This window comes from Homo sapiens, chromosome 17, assembly GCF_000001405.40.
Source record: "Homo sapiens chromosome 17, GRCh38.p14 Primary Assembly".
In the NCBI taxonomy this organism is placed as follows: Eukaryota; Metazoa; Chordata; class Mammalia; order Primates; family Hominidae; genus Homo; species Homo sapiens.
Genome location: NC_000017.11, coordinates 44,798,448 through 44,814,185, shown reverse-complemented (window position 1 = coordinate 44,814,185; position 15,738 = coordinate 44,798,448). Strand labels below are relative to the sequence as shown.

Below are 15,738 nucleotides of genomic sequence, written 5' to 3'. Positions count from 1 at the left end.
CTGGGCGACGGAGCAAGACTCTGTCTCAAAAAATAATAATAATGGTTCAGGGGAAAGGAAACTTCAGTGGAGCAAGAACCCACTTTTCTCCACAGTGAGACCACAATTGGCAGTGACATATTCTGCTTAGAAATGTTAATTCCAGAACCTGCCTTCTACTCATTCTACTTCTTGAAATGATCTTAATTTCTCTGGAGGAGTATTGTACTCTGTAACATTGTAAGCCAATCCTTAATGCTTTGTTAATACATAGCTGCCAGGGAGGGGGCTTGCCTAGAGAATGAGTGACCCATTACAGAAATGAGGACTAATGTTTTCAAAATGTTCCCCAGACTGCACTCATCTCCCAGGAATTATTTGACATTTCACTGAGAGTAAGAATGGGTAACTTGTGGCCGGGCGTGGTGACTCACGCCTGTAATCTTAGCACTTTGGGAGGCCGAGGTGAGCAGATCACCTGAGGTCAGGTGTTGGAGACCAGCCTGGCCAACATGGTGAAACGCTGTCTCTCCTAAAAATACAAAAATTAGTTGGGCGTGGTGGTGTGTGCCTGTAGTCCCAGCTACTCAGGATGCTAAGGCAGGAGAATTGCTTGAACCCGGGAGATGGAGGCTGCAGTAAGTTGAGATCGTGGTACTGCACTCCAGCCTGGGCGACAGAGAGAGACTCTTGTCTCAAAAAAAAAAAAAAAAAAAAAAAAAGTAACTTGGAAGGAGAGGAAAGGGAAGAGTATCCAAGAAAAACTTACTGACTCAATAGGTAAAAACATTGGTGATACTGCCATTCATTTTAGGAAACTCATGGTTCTTTATTTTAGAAAGAAGATTGCAGCTGGGTGCGGTGGCTCACACCTGTAATCCCAGCATTTGGGAAGCCGAAGGGTGAATCTCCTGAGGTCAGGAGTTCGAGACCAGACTGGCCAACGGGGCGAAACCCCATCTCTACTAAAAATTAGTTGGACGTGGTGGTGTGCGCCTGTAGTCCAGCTACTCGGGAGGCTAAGGCAGGAGAATTGCTTGGACCCAGGAGACGGAGGCTACAGTCAGCTGAGATTGCGGTACTGTGCTCCAGCCTGGGTGACAGAGACTCTTGTCTCAAAGAAAAAAAAGAGAAAGGGAGGAAAGGAGAAGGAAGGAAGGTTAGTTGCTCGTCACCCATTTTGTGAGATGTTGGAGTTAAGTTGATAAACACATTTACACAAAAAGAAATGCAAATAGTAAACAAGTATAAGAGAAGTTTGGCCGGGCGTGGTGGCTCACGTCTGTAATCCCAGCACTTTGGGAGGCCGAGGTGGGCAGAACATGAGGTCAGGAGATGGAGACCATCCCGGTTAATGTGGTGAAACCCTGTCTCTACTAAAAATACAAAAAATTAGCCGGGCATGGTGGCACGGGCCTGTAGTCCCAGCTATTCGGGAGGCTGAGGCAGGAGAATCGCTTGAACCCGGGAGGTGGAGGTTGCAGAGAGCCGAGATTGTGCCACTGCACTCCAGCCTGGGCGACAGTGAGACTCTGTCTCAATTAAAAAAAAAAAAGTTCATTTTTACTACTAGATCCCTTAGTAAATTAGTGTTATTTGGAAAGAGTATTCATTTAGATAAAGACTAGAAGGACATAAGGAAAACCAAAACATTTGTAAGTAGCTGTGATTATGGGTTTTTTTGTGTGTGTTTGTTTGTTTTAACCCATTTATGCCTGAGATTGCAATTTTTTGAATTTGAAAAAATCAGACCTTGGCAATGATCTTGAACAGTAGGATATAAATAACTCCCACATGCGTAGCGTTCCAGTAATGGAACAATAGGCATAAATGGGTTTTAATGTTATGGGTTTTTTGTTTTGTTTTGTTTTGATTTGATTTTTGAGACAGAGTCTTGCTCTGTTGCCAGGCTGGAGTACAGTGGCGCAATCTCGACTCACTGCAGCCTCTGCCTCCCTGGTTCAAGCCATTCTCCTGCCTCAGCCTCAGCTTGTAGTCCTGAGTAGCTGGGACTACAAGCGTGTACCACCACACCCGGCTAATTTTTTTGTGTTTTTAGTAGGGGCGGGTTTCATCATGTTGGCCAGGATGGTCTCAATCTCCTGACCTCGTGATCCATCCGCCTTGGGCTCCCAAAGTGCTGGCATTACAGGCATGAGCCACTGCTCCCAGCTGGGTTTTTTTGTTTTTTGTTTTTTGTTTTTTTTTTTTAGAGTTTTGTTCTTGCCCAGGCCGGAGTGCAATGGGACGATCTCGGCTCACTGCAACCTCTGCCTCCCAGATTTAAGCCATTCTCCTGCCTCAGCCTCCCAAGTAGCTGGGATTATGGGCACGTGCCACCATGCCCGGCTAATTTTGTATTTTTAGTAGAGACGGGGTTTCACCATGTTAGCTAGGCCAGTCTCGAACTCCCGACCTCAGGTGATCCACTTGTCTCAGCCTCCCAAAGTGCTGGGATTACAGGCGTGAGCCACCGCGCCGGCCTATTTTTTTTCCCACAGAATTATATTAAGAGAAAGAGGCCAGGCATAGTGGCTCATGCTTGTAATCCTAGTACTTTGGAAGGCCGAGGCAGGCAGATCACTTGAGCCCAGGAGTTCAGGACCAGCCTGGGCAACATGGCAAAACCTCTTCTCTGCAAAAAATACAAAAATTAGCCAGGCATGGTGGCGTGCAACTGTAGTCTCAGGTATTTGGGAGGCTGAGGTGAGAGGATCACCTGAACCTGGGGAGGCTGAGGCTACAGTGAGCCCAGGTGCCGCTGCACTCCAGCCTGGATAACAAAGAGAGACTTTGTCTCAAAAAAAAAAAAAAAAAAGAAAAAAGGCCAGGTGCAGTGGCTCACGCCTGTAATCCCAGCACTTTGGGAGGCCGAGGTGGGTGGATCACCTGAGGGTCAGGAGTTGGAGACCAGCCTGACCAACATGGTGAAACCCTGTCTCTACTAAAAATACAAAATTAGCTGGGTGTGGTGGCACATGTCTGTAATCCCAGCTACTTGGGGGGCTGAGGCAGGAGAATCGCTTGAACCCAGGAGGCGGAGGTTGCAGTGAGCTGAGATCGTGCCATTGCACTCCCTCCAGCTTGGGCAACAAAAGCGAAACTCCATCTCAAAAAAAAAAAGAAAGAAATTATATTGGCTGCGTGTGGTGGCTCACACCTGTAATCCCAACACTTTGGGAGGCTGAGGTGGGCAGATCACTTGAGCTCTGGGGTACAAGACCAGCCTGGGCAATATGACGAAACCTCATCTATACAGAAATTAGCCAGGCATGGTAGTGTTCCTTCACCTGTAGTCCCAGCTACTGCAGGGGGCTAAGGTGGGAAGATTGCTTGACACAAGAGGTTGAGGCTGCAGTGACTTAGGTCTGCACCACTGCACTCCAGTGTGGGCAACAGAGCGAGACCCTGTTTAAAAAAAAAAAATGAATTAATTGATGTCCATCCAGTATAGAGAGGATCAGGTATCCAGATCCCCGCTCCTCCCCACACATGCACTGATCAGAGCTGAAGACCTGGGGTATGGAGGGGAGTCCGTCTGCAGATCTCCAGCGAGTTTTGTGGAGAAAACCCCTGGTTGTTGTGGATCTTCTCAACATTTTGTGGTCAAGAGCATAGACCGTAGCGATACTCATTCCGAAGACTTCAGAGTGTGGGTATAGAGTACCCATACTCTGTGGCTCTTAGGATTGTCTATGGAAAACCAGACTGTAAGGGTTCAGCATTTTCCACGTCTGCAGCTTAATCAGTACACAATACTTACTAATGGATGTGTTAAAATGGCTGCTTTAGAACTTACATAAGCTCTGAAGGATTTATCACCAATTCTTCCCCCCAAGAAAATTTTATTGAAAAGCTCAACTGTTGAGAAATTCTTTCATAACAATAATTACTTAAAAGATACACATTTGGCCGGGCGCGATGGCTCATGCCTGTAATCCCAGCACTTTGGGAGGCTGAGGCAGGCGGATTACCTGAGGTCAGGAGTTCAAGACCAGCCTGGCCAACATGGTGATAACCTCGTCTCTACTAAAAATACAAAATTAGCTGGGCGTGGTGGCTCACGCTTGTAATCCCAGGATTTTGGGAGGCCGAGGCGGGTGGATCACGAGGTCAGGAGATCGAGACCATCTTGGCTAACATGGTGAAACCCAGTCTCTACAAAAAAATACAAAAAAAAAATAGCCAAGCGTGGTGGCAGGTGCCTGTTGTCCCAGCTGCTCGGGAGGCTGAGGCAGGAGAATGGTGTGAACCTGGGAGGCGGAGCTTGCAGTGAGCCGAGATCATGCCACTGCACTCCAGCTTGGCCAAAAAAGCGAGACTGTCTGGAAAAAAAAAAAGGCTGGGCGTGGTGGCTCACGCCTGTAATCCCAGCACTTCGGGAGGCCGAGGCAGGCGGATCACCTGAGGTCAGGAGTTCAAGACCAGCCTCAACATGGAGAAACCCCGTCTCTACTAAAAATACAAAATTACCCAGGCGTGGTGGTGCATACCTGTAATCCCAGCTACTCGGGAGGCTGAGGCAGGAGAATTGCTTGAACCTGGGAGGTGGAGGTTGTGGCGAGCCAAGATCGCGCCATTGCACTCCAGCCTGGACAACAAGAGTGAAACTCCGTCTCAAAAAAAAAAAAAAAAGATACACATTTATCTTTGTGGATGGAGATATAACAGATGAGTTAGTTCTAACTAATTGTATTTTCATAATTTTGGCTTATTGGAACAAATAGAAATTTCAGGCTTTGGGGAAAATCTGAGCCTGCAGAGAATTTGTGGATGAGAATCATGGAGTTCTATGTTGGAAACCTGGCTTACATCACCATTTAAAGATTTTATATTATTTACTTCTTGTTTTGAGGTTTTATAACTTGTATATTCAATGAGAAAAGAGGTGGTGAGCTCAGTTGGAAAACAGGGCTAGAAATGGGAGCTGTACTGGAAATTTTATTGTGTTAGAGTCTCCCTCTCTCGCCCAGGCAGGAGTGCAGTGGTATGATCATAGCTCATTGCAGTCTCAAGCTCCCAAGTTCAAGTGATCCTCCTCCTTCAGCCTTCCAAAGTGCTGAGATTACAGGTGTGAGCCACCATGCCCAGCTGGATTCTTTTGTTTGTTTGTTTTGTTTTGTTTTGAGATGGAGTTTTGCTCTTGTTGCCCAGGCTAGAGTGCAATGGCACAATCTCAGCTCACCGCAACCTCCACCTCCCCCTCCCAGGTTCAAGCAATTCTCCTGCCTCAGCCTCCCAAATAGCTGGGATTACAGGCATGCACCACCACACCTGGCTAATTTTGTATTTTTAGTTAGTTGGTCAGTCCATGTTGGTCTGGCTGGTCTCAAACTCCCGACTGCTGGTGATCCACCCACCTCGGCTTCCCAAAGTGCTGGAATTACAGGCATGAGCCACCGTGCTTGGCCGGGATTCTTCATATGTAAATCTTTTTGCTTCTTTATTTTTTGAGGTTTCGCTGTCACCTAGGCTGGAGTGCAGTGGCACGATCACAACTCACTGCAACCTCTACCTCCCGGGCTCAAGTGATTCTTTCACCTGAGCCTCCCAAGTAGCTGGGACCACAGGTGTGCGTCACCATGCTAATTTTGGGGGTGTGTGTTGTTGTTGTTGTTTGGTGAAGACTAGGTTTCACATGTTGCCCAGGCTGGTCTCAAACTCCTGAACTCATGTGATCCCCCCACCTTGGCCTCCCGAAGTGCTGGGATTACAGGCGTGAGCCAGAGCCACTGTGCTGGGCCGTGTGTGTGTGTGTGTGTGTGTGTGTGTGTGTGTAAGAGACAGGGTGTTGTTCTATCTACCAGGTTGGACTGCAGTGGCCACCACTGCCACCACACCTGGCTAATTTTTTTAAAATTTGGAAAGATAGGGTCTCACTATATTGCCCAGGCTTATGTGCAAATCTTTATGCGGCTTCATGCCTTCACTTTTTTTTTTTCCATTGTTCCTTTGGAAATTGTTCCAGTTTTTTTTTTCCTGTATCTTTAAACAACAACACAAAGCACCCTTTTAATTAAGTTACTATAAACACATAACATTCAGGAATTGTTTTAAATTTATTTGCTAAATGTGGGCGCCTTATGGATGACATTTGGCCAGAGCTATGCAGAGTTGCCAGAGCTTAATAATGAGCAATAATTCATCTTGGAAACTTTTCTGTTTTGCTGTTTAATCCAGTACAGATGCAGGTGTTTTCTTTCTGTGACTTTTTGTGAGTAGTTGTATCTGTAAATCACCTCCCATGGAGACGGGTGTTCCTGTGACTGAGAGCCAGCTGTTGGGTGTTTTAGCTAAACAGCTTGCTCCTAGTTAGCTGCTCAAATCCCCCTGAGAGGTGTATCGGCTGCTTCAGGGAATAGAGCAGATGGGGTGAAGGTTTTTGCAAGGCCTTTAGTGACCTGCTTTCAATTTGCTGCAATTCTTCTGCTTTGGCTTTTTCCTATAGGTGCCAGAGTTCATCTGCTTCATATTTTTACTACTGACGCATCTTCCTGTCGTATATTCTTAGACTGTGGTGACTTAAGAATCTTTGGGTCACCTGTTACATGGTTTCTCCTGCCACCTGTATGGGGAGGAGAAGACTGGTATTCAAACTCAAGCCTGTTTCTATCTTATTCTCATTGATTTTTATGATACATAGAAAACTTTGTTTCTTTCTGAAAATGGCATTTTAGTGATTCATTGTTTTCTGTGGGAGAAAGCTTATGACCTGCTCTTTTCTTTTTCCCTTCCAGAGGGAATCTGGAAAAATTGCAATCAAAACATCATTTCTCTAAGAAAATTTTGGGTAACCGAAGTTCTGGACAACAGGTAAAGTGTGTTTAAACTTTGGTGGTGCTGACAAATCATCTGTAATCTGCAGAAGTAAACTGGGAGAGGGAGGAGGACAAGTTAAAAATTAAGTCTACTTTGTGTCGGGGCTTTATTGGGGATTTCCCATATATTACCTCATTTAGGTGGTTTTTACCTGGATCCTGGATGTAGATCTGGGAATCTCAGAAAGAATCTGTCCTTTAAAATGCTGTTTTAAATGGATTTGCTGTTGATTGGATTTAATGTCCTCACAGTTCAGTTTAGCAATCATTTTTTAATGTCTACCATAAATAAGGTACAGAAGTATAATTTGTAGATTCTGTTATATAGTAAAGGGGTACAATATTTATTGCAAGACCATTTACTGGGCTTCTAAGTAAAACCAAAATCTGGTATGCGATGCAGCCTAGCTAGGGAAGATCTTCCTAGTTCCCTTCTGTCTTTTGTTTTAGTTCTTAATGATTGCCAGCAGTTTGTAGCTGTACCATCTTCTTAATCCCTTTTAGCACTTGTCTAAAATTTAAGTTTCCTAATAAATCACCCCTTCACAGTGGAGTCCAACCGAGGTGTCCCCTTTATGTTCTCAGTGGTGGTTTTTCTGTGATTGGACCGAATAACTATACCTGTGTGTTTTTTAAATTTCTATCTCACAAAATTCTGAAGGTCTCATGAAATAATAGTATGTGTAAAGAACCTAGGTCTGGCCAGGCATGGTGGTTCACGCCTGTAATCCCAGCACTTTGAGAGGCCAAGGCAGGCGGATCACCTGAGGTCAGGAGTTCGAGACCAGCCTGGCCAACATGGTGAAACCCCATCTCTACTAAAAATACAAAAATGATGGTGCATGACTGTAATCCCAGATACTCGGGAGGCTGAGGCACAAGAATCACTTGAACCTGGGAGGCGGAGGTTGCAGTGAGCCAAGATCACGCCACTGCACTGCAGCCTGAGCGAAAGAGGGAAACTGTCTCAAAAAAAAAAAAAAAAAACAAACAGAAGAACCAAGGTCTGAGAAATATCTCAGTAAATAGTAGCTACAAGTTTACCTTTTAAACCAGAGGAGATATGAAAGCAATCCATACTTTCTGGGACCTTGTGGGGCCAACAGGTGTTGACTGAGGTGAATTGACCTTCTTGAAGATAGTAGAGAGTGAGATGCTGTTTATTCTTTTTTTTTGAGATGGAGTCTTGCTCTGTTCAAGCAATTCTCCTGTCTCAGCCTCCTGAGCTGCTGGGATTACAGGTGCACACCACCGTGCCCGGGTAATTTTTGTATTTTTGTAGAGACGGAGTTTCACCATGTTGACCAGGCTGGTCTTTAACTCCTGACCTCAACTAATCTGCCCGCCTTGGCCTCCCAAAGTGCTGGGATTACAGGCGTGAGCCACCCTACCCAACTGAGATGCTGTTTATTCTAACATTTGTTCCACTGTGAACCTTGAGGTTAGATTTCAAGTATTCAAAGCAGTAGTTCCTAGAGATATCATAATTAGTAATTAAATTAAGATTTAATATTTGTTGATTTTATTTTGGTATTTTTCCACTTTTATCAGGGCATACCAATTCAATCACCATGAGTTGGAGCTTCCTGACTCGCCTGCTAGAGGAGATTCACAACCATTCCACATTTGTGGGGAAGATCTGGCTCACTGTTCTGATTGTCTTCCGGATCGTCCTTACAGCTGTAGGAGGAGAATCCATCTATTACGATGAGCAAAGCAAATTTGTGTGCAACACAGAACAGCCGGGCTGTGAGAATGTCTGTTATGATGCGTTTGCACCTCTCTCCCATGTACGCTTCTGGGTGTTCCAGATCATCCTGGTGGCAACTCCCTCTGTGATGTACCTGGGCTATGCTATCCACAAGATTGCCAAAATGGAGCACGGTGAAGCAGACAAGAAGGCAGCTCGGAGCAAGCCCTATGCAATGCGCTGGAAACAACACCGGGCTCTGGAAGAAACGGAGGAGGACAACGAAGAGGATCCTATGATGTATCCAGAGATGGAGTTAGAAAGTGATAAGGAAAATAAAGAGCAGAGCCAACCCAAACCTAAGCATGATGGCCGACGACGGATTCGGGAAGATGGGCTCATGAAAATCTATGTGCTGCAGTTGCTGGCAAGGACCGTGTTTGAGGTGGGTTTTCTGATAGGGCAGTATTTTCTGTATGGCTTCCAAGTCCACCCGTTTTATGTGTGCAGCAGACTTCCTTGTCCTCATAAGATAGACTGCTTTATTTCTAGACCCACTGAAAAGACCATCTTCCTTCTGATAATGTATGGTGTTACAGGCCTTTGCCTCTTGCTTAACATTTGGGAGATGCTTCATTTAGGGTTTGGGACCATTCGAGACTCACTAAACAGTAAAAGGAGGGAACTTGAGGATCCGGGTGCTTATAATTATCCTTTCACTTGGAATACACCATCTGCTCCCCCTGGCTATAACATTGCTGTCAAACCAGATCAAATCCAGTACACCGAACTGTCCAATGCTAAGATCGCCTACAAGCAAAACAAGGCCAACACAGCCCAGGAACAGCAGTATGGCAGCCATGAGGAGAACCTCCCAGCTGACCTGGAGGCTCTGCAGCGGGAGATCAGGATGGCTCAGGAACGCTTGGATCTGGCAGTTCAGGCCTACAGTCACCAAAACAACCCTCATGGTCCCCGGGAGAAGAAGGCCAAAGTGGGGTCCAAAGCTGGGTCCAACAAAAGCACTGCCAGTAGCAAATCAGGGGATGGGAAGACCTCCGTCTGGATTTAATCCTGGCGGGCTTAAAACCTGTGCTTTTCATAGTTTATGGTAAGCAGCAGCTCACTGAATAATGACTTCCATTGAGTAAACATTTGGCTCTGGTTATCTTCAGGGATGCTGTTGGCTCATGATCCAAGCTCAGGGGACTCTGGAGGCGGGGCTGGGCTGAGGGAGAGAAAGGGAAACACAGTGTTCCCAGGCACATGTTCTTAGCAATAATACAGTTGCAGAACTTTACATTTGTGTCTTCCAGATCTGGAGAAGAACAGACATATTTAAATCATTCTTGTTGAACAGTTTTTGTATGTACAGTATTATGGTACTTTTTTTTTTTTAGTATGAGAACTTTTTTTGTATTTGTACATTGAACTGCTGTAGTTATACTTTTATATTAAAGGGGAAAAAGTCCTTATAAATAATGCCTATTAGGCTAGTGCTATTACTTTGTTCAGCAAATTCTACCCTGGCTTTAGAGTTTTTAATAGATGCTACACCTAATAAAAGTGCCTCTCATATTGCAGGAACGATTTCAGATGTGTAAGGAGACTGAAGAGGAGATACCAGTTTTTAGTCTTGGAAAGCAAGTTCACAGTAGAAGGAGGTTGAGATCTTTCTTTTATGTGAGAAATCTTTGAATCTCATTCATGCGATCAGAGTTGTAGCCAATTTTTGAAAACCTTATTTTCAAAGGAAATAAATGATTCACTGTAGGATTCCTTTAAATATCAAGCATCACCAGTATATGCTTTGATGGTATATGTATATAACTTAAAGTTCTTTCAAAAGCCTGATACAGAAACGTGTCCCCAGTTTGGTAGCAATGTGGAAAACCTGGCTAGAGATGATATGGAGCTGTCCCTCAGAAAGCAAAGCCATGCCTGGAATCCCTAATAGGCTGCTTAGTTGTGAACCTGTTTGATTTGCCTTAAGCCTCTATCCAGAAACCTGCCCGCTTCCGTCTGGTTAAGAAGCCAGTGGTGGATATTTTCTTTGTTAACATTAGAAATGCAAACATTCCCTTGTCAACCAAGAATACTCAAAGCTACTTGTATTGGAAATGGCAGAAGGCCTAAATCCAAATTTCTTATTTTTTATAATTTACCATAGAAGTTTTGTGATTAAATTCTTACTTCTGCCAGTGGAGGTTTATGCCTGAAAGGTCATGGGGTCCTGTCTGTAAATAGACCTAAAGAGAAGTGCAGTATTTATTCTTTGTAGGCATAATGTGTTTGTCACTGACAAGCATTCATGTTCATCCCACTAGTCTTTTATTGCAGTCTTTTATTGTCATTTTCAGCCTTATGTTGGAGAGCTTTGCTTTCTCATCATGTTCACATTGTCTTAAGTTTTGTGAGCTTCTGAGAAAGAGCTTGGTAAAGGTTTAAAGGGGACTTTGTTCCACCAGGGAGCATTTTATTTGGGCGTCTCACCCTTTTCTAATGAAAGCTGTTGTAAGCCACCTCTGACTTGGAAATTCTGAAAGTATGAATATTTTTTATATCTTAATTGTAAAATGCCAGTTCTCCATTATTTAGATGAATAGTAGAACACTGCACCCTTTGTGCAGTGTTTTTGTTTCTCTACTGCATTCCTACCCCCACCAAAAAAAAGAAACTTAAGGAAATTTTTTTTTGAGACAGGGTCTCCCTCTTTCACCCAGGCTGGAGTGCAGCAGCATGATCTCAGCTCACTGCAGCCTCTGCCTCCCAGGCTCAAGCAATCATTCCACCTCAGCCTCTTGATTAGCTGGGACTACAGGCATGTGCCACCATACTCGGCTAATTCTGTTTTAAAAATTTTTTTTGTAGAGATGAGGTCTCACTATGTTACCCAGGCTGGTCTCGAACTTTTGGGTTCAAGTGATCCTCCCGCCTCAGCCTCTCAAAGTGTTAGTATTATAGGTGTGAGCCACCATGCCCAGCCTAGAAAATTTAACCTTATCTTTTAGCCATTCATTTACTTTTATTTGCTTTTTTAAAAAAAAATCTTTAAATTTTAGCCTAGAGAAGCACCTCAGGAACTCTAAACATCTTAGGCAAAAATTAAACTCAGGTGAGACTGAAGGAGAAATTTCAGAAATACACATGTACCTCATGGGTAATTAATAGACATGCACAGTTTCCTTCAAATCAAATGTTTAATAAGGAAATTCATATAATTCCAAGAAAACAGGCAAAATTTGGAATACATAAGCCTAGCTAAGATAAAGAACTACCAGTTAATTCTTAACATCACTGGAGCTTCCAGCAGGTTTTTTAATTGAAGGACAAAAAGTGTCCATACATTTGTGTTATCTCTTCAGAGCCTGAGGGAGAAGAGAGTGGCTTTGCCCAGTGGAAAGGCTGGGGATTTGAGAATGATACAGGGGGAAGGAGTCAAGCAGAAATGCCAGGAAGAACCAGGCAAAGACATTTGGCGCCAGAAGCATCCACTTAATTTCTGTGAAGAGTGCCCCTGGTGTTTCATCTTGGCCTGTTTTGATGAGAATGTTATCTTTTGTGTCTGGATAACGCGTCAGCTTCTTAAAGTACATATAAAGATATTCTGTCACCTCCCCACATGCACACACTTTTAAAATCTATTTTTATTCTCTTGCTAAAGTTGTAATTATGTCAAGAATTTTCCAGCTCTAACTGCCTTCTTAGTACATGTCTTTCTGCCTTTGAAGCATATGAGTTTGCCAAAGTCATTCTCCCCTAATGACATATTGTGGACTTACATTAAGAAAATGGGCCAGGCGCGGTGGCTCACACCTGTAATCCCAGCACTTTAGGAGGCCCAGGCGGGTGGATTACCTGAGGTCAGGAGTTCAAGACCAGACTGGTCAACATGGTGAAACTCCATCTCTACTAAAAATACAGAAATTAGCCAGGAGTGCTGGGTGGACGCCTGCAATCCCAGCTACTTGGGAGGTTGAGGCAGGAGAATTGCTTGAACCCAGGAGGCAGAGGTTGCAGTGAGCTGAGATCATACCATTGCACTCCAGCCTGCAAGACAGAGTGAAACTCTTGTCTCAAAAAAAAAAAAAGAAAAAAAGAAAGTGAGCCTGTTGATGTCTAGCTAACCCATTGGTGGAGTCTGCATTGAATCTGTAAGAATATTGTTCTGGATCATGCAGGTGGGATTTGTATAAAAAGCCTGTCCAACATTTAGTTCTCACTCGCATCAGAATCATACTGTTTTGAATTGCCATATAAGACATGCTCCATCATGACACTTGCTTCTCCTCCAAATACAAGTTGAGTGCTTAGTCCTTCACCTGCTAGAATCAGGATACAATCAACATGATTATGTTCCTTAACACACTTGGATTTATGCAGATGTGGTGTGTCCTTTGCTCTTTTTTTTCTTAAGACAGAGTCTTGCTCTTGTCGCTCAGGCTGGAGTGCAGTGGTGTGATTTCGGCTCACTGCAACCTCCGCCTCCTGGGTTCAAGCGATTCTCCTGCCTCAGCCTCCCGAGTAGCTGGGATTACAGGCACCACCACCATACCAGGCTGATTTTTTTTGTATTTTTAATATAGACAGGGCTTCATCATGTTGGCCAGGCTGGCAGGCTGGTCTCGAACTCCTCACCTCGTGATCCGCCCACCTCAGCTTCCCAAAGTGCTGTGATTACAGGCGTGAGCCACCGCGCCTGGCCTGCTCTTAAAACCCGTTATTCAGAAGATTTGTAAAAGAAATAGGCTTTTTTTTTTTTTTTGGTTAATTCAAACGAGGGGAAAATTAGATAGCATTTTCCCCTAAAGAAATGTTAATGTTCATTTTGTGGCTTTGTTTTCAAGTTTCAGGAGCCATGTACATCTCAGAAGTGTTACGAAGTGATTAGAAAAGGCCTCTGGTAAAAGACCTTCAAGGACCAACCATTATTATTGGTCACTTGTTTGAACTTGGCGCTTAAAAAAAAAGTTGGACTGTGATGCTTTGGTGCTCTTTATCACAGACATCAGTGATGGTCTGAAACACTCTCTAGCAGTTTATACGAAGAATGGACTTACATGTTATCAGTTACACTCATGATTTACTCGTTCAGCTTCTACAAGTCCATACTTTATGCTGTCTCATTTAAGAGACAGTCCACTTCTGAAAATAAAATCGATAGTTGATGATACATTTTTGGCTAGCCAGCTTTCTGTAAAAGGCAAGTATGTTAGACATGCACAGTTTCCTTCAAATCAAATGTTTAATAAGGTACTTCAAGAAACGCCTTTTTAAAAATCAAAGGTTTTGGCCAGGCATGGTGGCTCACGCCTGTAATCCCAGCACTTTGGGAGGCCAAGGTGGGCGAATCACAAGGTCAGGAGTTTGAGACCAGCCTGGCCAACATGGTGAAACCCCGTCTCTACTAAAAATACCAAAAATTAGCCGGGCGTGGTGGTGGGTACCTGTAATCCCAGCTACTCAGGAGGCTGAGATGAGAATCACTTGATCCCAGGAGGTAGAGGTTGCAGTGAGCCGAGATTGCGCCATTGCACTTCAGCCTGGGCAACGAGTGAAACTCTCAAAAAAAAATTCATAGTAATAATAAAGTCCCTGCATGCAGTTTGGAAATAAAATTTAAACTCATTTATGTGTAATAAATATGTAATAATTCACAGTCACCATCAAATGTTGGAATCATTGAATTGCATACTTGTACTCATTCCGGCCACATCATGAAGTGTTTAAAGATTTGTATTTGCTGTTGTCCCTATGTAGTTCTATTGATGTTTGGTTTTGTTTTTTGGGGTTTGTTTTGAGCCCAGGCTAGAGTGCAATGGCACAATCTCAACTCACTACAGCCTGGACCTCCTTGGCTCAAGCAGTCCTCCCACTTCAGCCTCCCAAGTAGCTGGTCTGCAAGTGCTCACCACCACACCTGGCTAATTTTTGTATTTTTTGTAGAGACAGAGCTCTCACTATGTTGCCTAGACTGGTCTCAAACTCCTGGGCCCAAGCAATCCTCCCATCACAGCCTCCGAAGGTGCTGGGATTACAGGCATAAGCCACTGTGCCCAGCCTGTTTTTAATAATGATATTAAGTGGGTTTGGTTCATGTGTTATTAATCAGTGTTAATAATCGTACTTTTTTTTTTTTTTAAAAGAAACCATGGTATTCTAAAATCAGGAGTCCAAATAAAAGAAAGTTCTCGGCTGTGCATGGTGGCTAACACCTGTAATCCCAGCACTTTGGGAGGCTGAGGTGGGTGGATCACTAGAGGTCAGGAGTTTGAAACAAGCCTGGCCAACATGGTAAAACCCCCTCTCTACTAAAAATACAAAAATTAGCCGGGCATGGTGGTGCACACCTGTAATCCCAGCTACTCGGGATGTTGAGGCATGAGATTTCCTTGAACCTGGAAGGCAGAGGTTGCTGTGAGCCGAGATCGCGCCACTGCACTCCAGCCTGGGTGACAGAGTAAGACTGTCGCCAAAAAAGAGGAAAAAAGTTATCCAGTGCAGTTTCTACAGAGATAAAAGAAGTAATAGTTCTGGCTGGGTGTGGTGGCTTATGCCTGTAATCCCAACACTTTGGGAGGCCAAGGCAGGTGGATCACATGAGGTCAGGAGTTCGAGACCAGCCTGGCCAACATGGCAAAACTGTCTCTACTAAAAATATAAAAATTAGGTATGGTGGCACGTGCCTGTACTTACAGCTACTTGGGAGGCTGAGGCATGAGATGACAATCTCTTGAACCCAGGAGGCGGAGGTTGCAGTGAGCTGAGATTGCACCACTGCACTCCAGCTTGGGTGATGGAGTGAGACTCAAATAAAAAAGGTACTAGTTCTGCATTTCAGAGTTGGCTTGTTGAACCAGGCTATATGCTTCCAAGATTTAAATGTTTTTCTGTATTATACTCTCAATTGTGTTTTAAAAAAATCTCTTACAGAAATCTCTACCTCAGGCACTAAGTGTTATGACATGGGTAGCATATTGATATTGAAAACTTAGCTAGGACTTCCAGCCTTTTAAGATAATTTAAATGTAAAATTAAATGGTTAACCAGCAATCTAATGTCATGTGGTGTGCAGTTTGGATATTGCATGAACAGCTAAGGAATCACCTGTTCTAGTGCCAAAGATCACTCATTGCTAATTTTGTTCTGTACAGCTTATGTAATATTTTCATGGTGGAGACGGACTCTGTGTGCTCAGGGCCTTGTCTCTAGGAAGATTTTGTCAATTCCAAATACAGTTTTGAAGATTCA

The 15,738-nt window shown here is 44.0% G+C and overlaps 1 protein-coding gene across 10 annotated transcripts in view; it reads left to right on the top strand.

Annotated features, from left to right (window-relative positions):
- GJC1 (gap junction protein gamma 1) overlaps positions 1 to 15,738 on the top strand; it is a 37,261-nt gene that overhangs the window by 17,179 nt on the left and 4,344 nt on the right. For 4 of the 10 annotated variants that reach the window (XM_024450527.2, XM_047435078.1, XM_047435079.1 and 1 more), the window contains exons 2-4: positions 6,717 to 6,792; positions 8,349 to 9,598; positions 10,072 to 15,738. In XM_024450527.2, the coding sequence (XP_024306295.1) occupies positions 8,369 to 9,559 (1,191 nt within the window). In that variant the 5' untranslated portion in view covers positions 6,717 to 6,792; positions 8,349 to 8,368 and the 3' untranslated portion in view covers positions 9,560 to 9,598; positions 10,072 to 15,738. Of the gene's footprint in view, positions 1 to 721; positions 1,139 to 6,716; positions 6,793 to 8,348 lie in introns of those variants that run through there. The other 6 variants (XM_024450526.1, NM_001080383.2, NM_005497.4 and 3 more) reach the window with 3 other exon arrangements.